Below are 12549 nucleotides of genomic sequence, written 5' to 3' on the forward strand. Positions count from 1 at the left end.
AAATGTCACCTCCACAGAGTTTCTCTCCACTCTCACTTGCTCAGTTATCTGAGTAAGGTTTCTACCACATTACTCTAGTTTGTCTTTTTCATAGGCCCTCACTGTACATGAAATTATCTTATTGATATATTACTGTTTTGTGTTTCTGGAGTGTCACCTCTGTGGAATGTAAGATCTTTGAAGGCTGACAATCTGTCTGGTTCATTGCTATTCTCCAGAAGTAAGAAAGTGTTCTTGCAGGGAGTAGGAGCATAATAAGTACCTTTGACTATTTCTTACGTTGTTCCCTAACTAACTGGTTCAATCTTTTAACCTCTCCAGTGATAGTTTACACATCTTGGAAATCAAAACCATCTTCAGAAAAGGGAGATGTTACAACTGACACCACAGAAAGAGAAAGAATCATTAGAGACTATTCCAAACAATTATACACCAACAAATTTGAAAATCTAGAAGGAATGGATACATTCCTGGATACATACAACCTACAAAGATTGAACCATGAAGACATGGAAAACCTCAACATGCCAATAACGAGTAACCAGATGGAAGCTTCCCATCGAAGAAAAACCCAGGACCTGATGACTTCACTGCTGAGTTCTACAAAACATTTAAAGAACTAACACCAATTTTACTCAAACTCTTCAGAAAAATTGAAGAGAAGGGAATACTTCCAAACTCATCCTACAAGGCCAGCATTTCCCTCCTACCAAAGCCAGGCAGGGACACAATGAATAAAGAAAGCTACAGGCCAGCATCACCGATGAACAAAGGCGTAAAAACACTCAACGAAATAGTAGCAAACCAAATTCAACAACACATTAAAAAGATTATTCACCATGATCAGGTGGTATTCATCTCAGGGATGCAAAGATGATTCAACATACACAAATTAATACATGATACATCACATTAACAGAACCAAAAACAAAATTTATATGATCAATTCAATAGATGCTGAAAAAGCATTCAATAAAATTAAAATGTTAAAATCCTCAAAAAACTGGATAGAGGACGAACATATCTCAAAATAATAAAAGGCCATATATGACAAACCCATAGCTAACATCATACTGAACGTGGAAAAATTGGAAGCCTTTCCTTCAAGATCTGGAAGAAGACAAGGATGCCCACTTTTACCACTTTTATTCAACATAATACTGGAAGTCTTGGCCAGAGCAATTAGGCAAGAGAAAAAAAGAAAGGGCATCCAAATTGGAAAGAAAGAAGTCAAATTAGCCTTTTTCACAGACAACACGATCTTATACTTAGAAATGCCTAAAGACTCCACCAAAAAATTGTTAGAACTGATAAATGGATTCAGTAAAGTTGCAGGATATAAAATAAACATACAAAAGTCAGCAGCATTTATATGTGCCAACAGCAAACAATTTGAAAAAGAAATCAGAAAGCAATTTAATTTACAATAGCTACAAAAACAAAATACTTAAGAATCAGTTTGACCAAAGAAGAGAAAGCTCTGTACAAGCAAAATTATAAAACACTGATGAAAGAAATTGAAGAGGACACAAAAAAAGAAAGATATATTCCATACTCATGGATTGAAAGAATTAATGCCATTAAAATGACATTACTACCTAAAGGAATTTACAGATTCAATGTAATCTCTATCAAAATACCAAGTATATTCTTCACAGAAGTAGAAAAAAAATCCTAAAATATACATGGAACCATAAAAGACCCCAAATAGCCAAAAAAAAAAAAAAAATCCTGAATAAAAAGAACAAAGCTGGAAGCATCACATTATCTGACTTTAAAATATATTACAAAGCTATATTTACCAAATCAGCATGGTACTGTCAAAAAAAAAAAAAAGCCAAAAACAAAAAAAGAAAAACAGACACATAGACCATTGGAACAGAATAGGGAACCAGATAAAAATTCATTCATTTATAGCCAACTGATTTTCAACAAAGGCACGAAGAACATACAACAGGGAAAGGACACCCTCTTCAATAAATGTTGCTGGGAAAACTCTATAACTATATGCAGAAGAACAAAACTAGACCCCTACCTCTCACCATAGGCAAAAATAAAATCAAACAGATAAGAGACTTAAATTTAAGACCTGAAACTATGAAACTACTAGAAGGGAACATTGAGGAAATACTCTAGGACATTGTTCTGGGCAAAGAGTTTTTGTGTAAGACCTCAAAAGCATAGGTAACCAAAGCAAAAATAGACAAGTGTGATTACAACCAGCTAAAAACCTTCTGCACAACAAAGGAAATAATCAACAAAGAGACAACCCACAGAATGAGAGGAAATATTTACAAATTATCCATCTGACAAGGGATTAGTAACTAGAACATATAAAGAACTCAAACGTCTCAATAGCAAAAAAACCCTGAAATAATCCAATTACAAAATGAGAAGAAGAACTCAGTAGACACTTCTCAAAATAATATATACAAATGGCCAACAGATATATGAAAAAATGTTTAGTATCACTCATCATCATAATCAGAGAAATGCAAATCAAAACCATAATGAGATATCATCCATGTCACCCCAGTTAAAATGGCTTTTATCAAAAAGACAGGGAATAATGGATGCTGGCTAGGATATGGAGGAAGGGGAACCCCCATACACTGTTGGTGGGAATGCAAATTAGAACAGTCACAAAGGAAAACTGTATGGAGGTTCCTCAAAAAACTAAAAATAGAACTACCATATGATTTAGCATTTTCACTACTGGCTATATATCCAAGAGAAAGAAAATCAATATATCAAAGAGATATCTGCACTCCCATGTTTACTGCAATGTTATTTACAATAGCTAAAATATGGAATCAACCTAAGTACTCATCAGTGGATGAATGGATAGAGAAAATGTGATACATATGCACAACAGAATATTATTTAGTCATCAAAAAAATGAAATCCTGTGATTTATGGAAACATGGATGGAACTGGAGGTCATTATGTTAAGTAAAACAAGCCAAGCACAAAAAGACAAATATCTCATATTCCCACTCATATGTGGGAGCTGAAGACAGACAGTAGATTGGTGGTTTCCAGAGGCCAGGAATGGTCAGAGGGGTGAGGGGCAGATGCAAAGAGGTTGATTAATGGGTCCAAATAAACATAGAAAAAACAAATACAAAGTTTGATAAAAGAAATAAGACCTCATGTTTGATAGATTAGTAGAGTGACTACAGTTTGCAATAATCTATTGTATATCTCAAAATAGATGGAAGAGAATAACTCAAATGGCTCTAGCATAAAGAAAAGACATATATTTAAGGTGATAAATACCCCAATTACACTGATTTGATCTTTACAAATTATACAAATGTATTAAATTATCACGTGCCCTGAAAATGTGTACATCCATTATTTATCAATTATAAAACATATGAAATGTGCTGCATGGTGCCTAGCAAAAGGCTAGGAATATGGGTGGCAGGTTCTCAATAATATTCATCTCAGACAAGAGTGGTGGTTGCAACATAAATCACTGTTCAGAGCCACCTGTACCCCAAGCCTCCATGTAGTTCCTTCTTTTCTCTTGGCTTTTCTCTCTTTGCTTCTTAAGGAGTGATTAAGAACACTGGGCCAGAGAGACAGGGCTCTGGGCTGAGATGTGTTGCTAACTAGCTGTAGAACTCAGGGCCAGTAGCCTTTTGCAGAACTCAGTTTCTGAAACTCTAAAATGGACAGGTGCCATTCAGGTCATGGAAGTGTAGGAAGAGGCCTGGTTTAAGTCATCCAGGAGTGGAGAAGACCAAAGGACTCCAGAGACTGCCAATGTGCCCAGCTTCCCTTATATGGTCTCTTACATACATTCAGCTTTCCTCCTCTCCTTCTGCCTTAGATTGAACACAGCCCTTTTGCCATTTCTTAGTTCAGTTATCTCCTCCAGCAAAATTCTACAAGAACTGCTTCCTCGCTGATGCTTTCAGTAAGTGCTGGAACCTTCAGTCAATGCCTACACTTCTGAATGGTGCCCGCACCTGATGGCTAGGCCACCCTTTGGAGAACCTGTTCGTCTACTCCCCTGTAATGCCACTAGTGTTTAGGTTTATAAAAAGGCAACGGAGGGTGGAGAGTGAGCACTTGGTTGCTTCCCAAACAACTCAAGGCAAAAGCACCATTATGGAGAGGGAAGATTTCTGACTTAAACTACTCAACTAATTGTTCAACTGCAAACTTCAGAATGTCACAGCAGAAATATTTTTTGTCTTCCAACATTTCAGACAAGGCTATGAGATCATCATGGCTCAAAGTTCTTCAAAATGCAATTTGCAAATAAAGGCAGCAAACTGGGCAGATGGTTGGGGCGGGGGTGAAGGGTGAGCTCCTACTCTATTTTGGGAACCCTCTTTTCGTAAAGAACCAGGTCTCTGAGACACAGCTGTGGATCTGATATCCCCCTCATGCCTTTGACATCTGAGCAAGAGATATTGGAGCTCAACCACAATGAAGATCCACTTCAAAAAGGCTTCGTGGTTTGGGAATGCTGTGCTTCCTTCCACAACAACCACCTTCTGTCTGGCTGAGACCATGGTGGCTTAAGGGATATCACGACTTCCAAAGGTGTTCTGTCAGCACCTCCTAGGATCTATCCCTAGCAGACTAAGCAGAGATTTTTTTTAAAGATAAGCAAATAAGCATTAAGAGCAGCCAAATGATGATGCCTCAACCAAGGAGCTCATCATTTCTATTCTGAAAACTGTCTCTGTGGACAGGTGGGCAGAGCCATGGCCATATCTTTTTGTGACAGGGGAGTCATTGAGTAATTCCAAAATAAGACAATTTCCTTAACTATGCAAATGAATTCATATTAATAATTCCATGAAATGTGTCTATAGTAACACACGGACAAGAGATGGGCCTTGTAAGAGTGGCCCACTACGTTCTTTGAGGTCTTTGTCAGTTTTACCTGCCACAGACTGTGTAGACTAGCTGCAGTCAAAATTCCCATTCCCTCATCACTTGCTCTGAAATTTATCTGAAGTCAAAAGGAGTGGGTTACCAAAAGAGAAGCATCCAGAGATGTGGATGGTGCAAGAAGAAATGTTGTAGAACCTCAAAAGCTAGGTTCTAGTATCTGATGCTCAGTAAGCCAAACACTAACATGTCAGCACTTAGGAGCAGAGAAAGGTTTATTTGGTGTCCCCATAGTGTGAGGACGGGAGAGGCAAACCTTAAATCCAGCTTGCCTTTGAACATCACTGGGGGATTTATGAGTAAGGTAGGCATGCGGGAGGTGAGATTTCCAGTGATCAAAGCTACTTGCGTCTCTCGGCCATCAAACTTCTGGATGCCTCCAAGAAGGTCTATGTGACCTAAGGATCATTGTTCTTTGAAAGAAAAACAAGTTCATTAATCTTGCAGACAGCCCCAGGGGTCAGGATATAAAGTTAATCAATGATTAGTGAATTAGTGACCACGCTCTACCAAAATGACTATGTGCAAGTAATCATGCATGGAGAAAGAAAAGGACAAAGAGAAAAGAAAATAAGTAAAATAAACACTTGATGATCATATCACACAGGCTTGGTTACAGAAACACAGGAGGAAGAATCTGAATCTACACTGGGGTCCACAAACAGCAATATTCCCTCTCTTTTTATTAGGATTATAAAATGTTAGAGCTCACAAGGGACATAAGAGATGATATTATGGGTTGACTATTGTCTCCCCAAAATTCATTTCAAGTCCTAACCTCCAGAACCTCAGAATGTGACCTTATTTGGAAATAAGGTCATTGTAGATGTAATTATTTAATATGAAGTCATAAAGGAATAAGGTGGGTCCCTAAGCCAATATGACTGATGACTGATATGGCTTGGTTCTGTGTCCCCACCCCAATCTTATCTCAAATTGTAATCCCCATATGTCAGTGGAAGGACCTGGTGGGAGGTGACTGGATTATGGGGGCAGATTTCCCCGTTGTTCTCGTGATAGTGAGGTTTCACAAGATCTGGTAGTTTAAAACTGTGTGGCACTTCCTCCTGCTCTCTGTTTGTCTCTCCTGCCATCATGTAAGATGTGCCTTGCTTCCCCCTTGCCTTCCACCATGATTGGAAGTTTCTGAGGTCTCCACAGCTATGCAGAACTGTCAGTCAATTAAACCTCTTTTCTTTATAAATTACCCAGTCTTGGGTACTTCTTTTTTTTTTTTTTTTTTTTTGAGACGGAGTCTCTGTTGCCCAGGCTGGAGTGCAGTGGCATGATCTCAGCTCACTGCAACCTCCACTTCCTGGGGTCAAGTGATTCTACTGCCTCAGCCTCTCGAGTAGCTAGGATTACAGGCACGCACCACCACACTCAGATAATGTTTGTATTTTTAGTAGATACGGGGTTTCACCATGTTGGCCAGGCTGGTCTCAAACTCCTGACCCCAAGTAATCCACCCGCCTTGGCCTCCCAAAGTTCTGGGATTACAGGCGTGAGCCATCACACCATCTCCCTCAGGTAGTTCTTTATAGCAGTGTGAAAACAGACGAATGCAGTGACCTTATAAAAATGGGAGATTTTCACACAGGCACACACACGGGGAACTCTTTGTGAATGTAAAGTCAGAGATCAGCCAAGGAATGCCAAAGATTGCCAGCACATCTCCAGAAACTAGCAGAGAGTTTGAAGAGATTTTTTTTTTTCTCAGAAGGAACCAGCCCTGCTGATACCTTGATCTTGGGCTTCTAGCCTCCAGAGCTGTGAGACAATACATTACTGCTGTTTAAGCTGCCCAGTTTGTTGTCCTTTGTTATGGCAGCGCTAGGAAACGAATACAAATAACCTACTTCACCTCCTCATCTTAGAGCAGTAGTTCTCAGCCAGGGAATTTTGCCCTCCAGGGAATATTTGGCAACATCTTGAGACATTTTTGGTTGTCACAGCTGGGAGGTGCTATGGCATCCAATGGATAGAGGCCAGAAATGCTACAAAACATTCTACAGTGCACAGAACAGTCTCTTACAACAAAGAATTATCAGACTCAAAATGTGAATAGTTTGAAGACTGAGGAACCCTCTTTTAGAGGTACAGAAATGGAAGCTCAGAGGGCGTAAGCAATTCACAAAATCTCTAAGAAAATTAGGGCAAAACTGGAGCCAGGATCCAGTAAGAAACAGATTAAGCCTAGCAAGAACATTGGTGGAACAATGTCCTAAGATACAGACAGAGGAAAAGAAACCCACAGGAGGCAAAGAAGGAGAGAAAAGCTCAAGAGGAAGGAAGAGACCACAGTATGTCATCCGAGGGCCAAAAAGAGAGGTGCTTCATGGAGAGCGAGCTCAACAGTGTCCGCTGCAACAGGGAGCCCAAACTAGAACTCTGCAAGGGGCTCATAGAAGTTGGGGATTAGGATGTTGCTGAAGGACCATGGAGAGAGCAGGTCCAGGCACCCAGGGAGCAGGGCCATGAGTCAGACTCCCGTATGACTGTGAGTGAGATGGCGAAGATGGAGTATTCTAGAGCAGAAAACTTTTTTTTCCTAAATCACCATTGGATCTACTGAAGAGCATAAATCTCTTAAAAGACATTGGAAGGGAAAAAGGGATGGAGTCCAGCTTGCAGGGTAGGGGGATTAGCTTGACCATGAAGAGGATGGCAGAAGCAATTAATGGAAGGTGACCTTTAGAAGGAATAAATGCTCCCTGTCTACTCTGCCTTAATCTTATTTTACCTTGAGAATACTGTTTGTTAATAACTAACAAACACGGTGGAGAACTCTGGACTTCCTGGATATACGTGCTCAAGGATCATGTATAGGAGCATGATCTCAGGAAGGCTTCCAGTTTTCCTTGCTATTCCCTGAAAATCTGTTGCTACTTCCTCCTATGCATTGCGGATATGCCTTAGGAAGTTTCCACACTCTGGTCCTGCCATGGCTGGTAGATACAGGGAAAACAAAAAACAAACAACAACAACAAAAAAAAACCCAGTGAGAATAGTCCAAATTCCACAGGAAGGATTTCAATAGGATATGGATGACAAAGAGGGTGGCTTCATGGGCATATAACCCTTGCAGTCTCACAGCACCCTGTGCTCAGAAGGGAACCCCGGGCTAGGGGTTTAATGCTCTGTGGTCACCATCTTCAAAATGTCAGTAACTATTTTTTGACACGGGGTCTCACTATGTTACCCAGGCTGGAGTGCAGTGGAGCAATCACAGCTCACTGCAGCCCCAACCTCCGAGGCTCAAGCGATCTTCCCAACTAAGCATCCCAGTAGCTGAGACTATTGGTGCACGCCACCACTCCCAGCTAATTTTTAAGTTTGTTTTTGTAGAGACAGAGTCTCGCCATCTTGCCCAGGCTGGTCTCTAACTCCCAAGTTCAAACAATCTTCTCACCTTGGCATCGCAAAGTGCTGGGATGACATGTGTGAGGCACCACACCCTGTCCAAATTGTCAATAGCTTTATCTTTGAGTTTTTATTTTGTAAATAAAGTCTGATGAGACAATGGAGTGTACCCTAAGGGCTTAGAACTTCGGCTCACACGTGGTCCTGCCTCCCACCACCTCCCAGATCGGGCTCTTTACCTTCGGCTCTCATACTCTTACCGAGAAATGGTGTCCCCCGCTCAGAGTAAGTGAGTGAGTGAGAGGGCCCAGGTGCAGGCAGGTGCCTGTGGGGGTCTGCACTCCTTATGCAAATATCCCTATGCTCCAGGGTACACAACATTATATAGCAAATTAAAAAAAAAGAAAACAAAAAAAAAGAAACTACAATAGGTCAAGAGAGAGGGAGAATGAAAACAGGCTTTCTTCCTGCTTTTTAAACAAGGGCTCCCACATCTCCATTTTTCACTGAGAGCATGAATTAATGTAGCTGTTCCTGCTAACTGGCATAAAAGGAGCTGAAAGAACTGAGAAGCAGAAAGTTTCCTGGAGTTTCCATCACCATTTATCCAACTACTAGTGACCAAGCACCTCACAGACACAGGGATAAAATGACTAAAAGGCATATTTCCTGATTTCAGATCTTAGAGAATAGGAGGGCTGAGTGGACACACATGAAAACAAATCATTGCAGGGCTGTGTGCAGCATCAGGAGGAAGTTGGCCAGGGGTCTATGGGAGCACCAGGAGGGCCCCAACCTGCCTTAGGGAGGGCAGCGAAGGCTTCTCCGAGAGCATCTCTTCTGAGCAGAGTCCTGAGCGAGGACCATTCAGAGGAAGAAAACGGAGCTGTTATTCCAAGGAGGCAGAGAGTACATGGCCAGTTTGGAAGCTGCAAATCATTCCAAGTAGCTGGAGTACAGGGAAGAGGAGCACTCAGAGAAGGAGGCCCACATCACAAGGTGCCTTGTTCTGTAAGCTAGGCATTCCAGCATTATCCTTAGACCACGGGGAGCCACTTGAGGGGCTTTAAACTGGACTGACTGACTCAGACTGGGGCCTTAGAAAGATGGTGCCAGCTCTGTGTGGAGGTACCCAGATTGGAGCCAGAAAGAACACTGAGGTTTTTGTTTCAATCCCAAATCCACACAAGAAGCAACAAGGACCTGAACCAAGGAGGTGGCAGTTGGAATGGAGAGAATTGACCCCCAGTTGGGTGACCTTGAGAGATATTTCAGAGGTAGAATAGAAACAACAAGACAAGGTGGTAGATTCGCTGGGGTGGAAGGGAAGTGAGCAAAGGGTGACTTTGTATTTCTGGTTTGGGCCCATGGGAGAATGGTCCCTCTTCAGGGTCCATCACACTGCTCGTGGAATAAATTCATGGGATAGGCAGTTTCCTAAGATAGTCCTCCATGATCATGTTCTGCTATTGATGTCCTTGTGTAATCCCCTCCTCTTGAAAGTGGGATAGACCTAGTGACTTGCCTCCAATGAATAGAATATGGCAAAGGTTATGAGACGTTTCTTCCGAGATTAGGTTATAAAAGATTATGACGCTCATCTGTTTCTCTCTCTTTCTATCTCTCTTGCCCTCCTCCTCACTCACAGTAAGAAAAGGTGGCTACCATGCTGTGACCTGCCCTATGGAGAGCCCATATGGCAAGGAGAGGCCAGGAGGCCTCTGCTCAGCAGCCTGCAGACAACTGCATCCTGCCAACAACCACCTGAGTGAGCTTGCAAGCAGATCCACCCCAGTCAAGCCTTTAGATGACTATAGCCCCCGCCAATACCTCAAAGCCTTGTGAGAAAACAGAGCCAGGGGACCCAGCTAAGCCACGTGCAGACTCCAGATGTACAGACACCGTGAGATGATAAATGCTGTAGCTTTGAGGCACAGTGTTTTGAAGTAATTTGTTATACAGTAATAACTCATCAGTACAATAAGCAAGATAGGGTTATAGTCACAAGGAATAAGAGAAGAAAAATTTCAAGTACATTTGGAGAACTTCTGGAGCACTAATTTATTTATCTATTTGTTTTTGTTGAGACCTGGTCTTGCTCTCTTGCCCAGGCTGGAGTGCAGTGGTGTGATCTCAGCTCACTGCAACCTCCACCTCTGAGATTCAAGCGATTCTCCTGCCTCAGCCTCTTGAGTAGCTGGGACTACAGGCACACATCACCATGCCCAGCTAATTTTTGTCTTTCTTTTTCAGTAGAGATGGGGTTTCACCATGTTGGCCACACTGGTCCGGAACTCCTGAGCTCAGGTGACCTGCCCACCTCAGACTCCCAAAGTGCTGGGATTACAGGCATGAGCCAGCATGCCTGGCCTGGAGCACTCATTTATAAACAATAGTTGTCTAAGTATGAATCACGTTTATATTTCTTTTACACTTTTTTTTTTTTTTTTTTTTTAGAGACAGAGTCTCACTCTGTCACCCAGGCTGGAGTGCAGCGGTGCGACCTTGGCTCACTGCAGCCTCCACCTCCTGGGTTCCAGCAATTCTCCTGCATCAGCCTCCTGGGTAGCTGGGACTACAGGCACATGCCGCCACACCTGGCTAATTTTTGTATTTTTACTAGAGACGGGGTTTCGCCATGTTGGCCAACCTGGTCTCAAACTCCTGACTTCAGATGATCTGCCCACCTTGGCCTCTCAAAGTGCTAGTATTACAGGTGTGAGCCACTGTACCTGGCTCATGTTTATATTTCATTCAATAGGTTTCCTAATAACTTCTACTGAATTAGACTTTTATTTGTATATGTTCTCTACTTACAACACTTTGACATATCTCTTTGTATGACTGTCTCTCCATTAAGCTAGAAGATCTTGGAAGACAAGAATACTCCTCTATTCAACTTTGCAGCCCTAACACTTAGCATGGAGTGTAGAGTCAATAGTGACCAAGTGTTTGTTGAATGAGATTCTAGTTGTTGAATATTCTCAAAATCTCTATCAAACTTTTGTTTGATTAAAAATTGCCATCATTAATCTAGTTCTACTCCCAAGAGGAATTTGGATATTAATTGAGTTCTGGTAAACCAAAACTAGCAGAGGCAGAAAGATTAATAAGAATTTTTTTTTACATTCTCCAGCGCTATTTTTTGACATTTGTTAAAAGTAGGTGAGTATAATTTCTTTCATTATTTGCCATGGTATAAATTGTTTAAAACATGAGACGTGAGAATACTTAGACATTTCAGAAAGAATTTGAAAGTGTGAGGTGTACAAAAATATGCTTCTCCTAACTTCTACAGAAATTCCACAGATTCATGAATTCATTTATTTAGCAAATGACTCCCTGCTTTGCCGTTTCCTACGGGACCTTGGACACATTCCTTCTCACCTCCGAACCTAGTGTCTTCAATTGTAAAAATAAGAGGAAATGTGGTCAGATCATATATTTTCGAATTTCTACTTCATGTCTCAAGTTCTCTGAATTCTGTGAAATATCCTGAGATATTGTTCTCATTTAGACCCGGGGCAGAGCTGGGTTTGAATCTCAGTTCCGCTTTTCAATGAATAAGTTATTTTTATCTGTGTGCCCAAATGTAAAAGGGGGTCGTTGTTAACAATTAGACATGAAGAATGTAAAACATCTGCCTTAATTAAAAAAAAAAAAAAAAGAGCCATGACCAATGTGTCAAGCACTAATGGGGAAATACAAAAGAAAAATGTAAGACATTAAATCAACTTTCTAGGAATCTCCAGTCTGGCTGGGGACACTATTATTTATGATCATCTTTTAAAATATCTTCCAGCCTCTGCTCAGGTAACTATTATCTTATCCTGACCAACCATGAACGTATTTCATTAGCATGAAAATTTTCCCAATGCTTTTGAGATTCAGCCAGCACACCCTGTCCTAACACTGAATTTCCTGGCCTCAATACCTGTGGAAAGCGGTGGTTTCTCTTTTCATTTAGCTTACATTTGCTGCCCTGTAATTTGATTCTTCCCCTTCATTCCTGGACTCTCTCCTTTCTTCTCAAACAAGGGGCCCACTTCGGTCTTGACCAAGCCCTTCATCTTCCTGAATTTCTCAGCTAAATCGTTTCTAACGCTTCCCTTTTTCCAACATAAATAGTTCTTTCTCGCTCATTGTCCCACCCTGCCTCACCTCTGGCTCCAATTAGAGCAATATTTATTTTTCCTTTTTAAGAATCTCTGTAGCCTCTACTCTTCGGAAATGAGGCAACGCAGCTCGTGTTAAAAGCCCTTTATTATGGTC

The sequence above is a fragment of the Homo sapiens genome, chromosome 2 (assembly GCF_000001405.40).
Source record: "Homo sapiens chromosome 2, GRCh38.p14 Primary Assembly".
Lineage (NCBI taxonomy): Eukaryota > Metazoa > Chordata > Mammalia > Primates > Hominidae > Homo > Homo sapiens.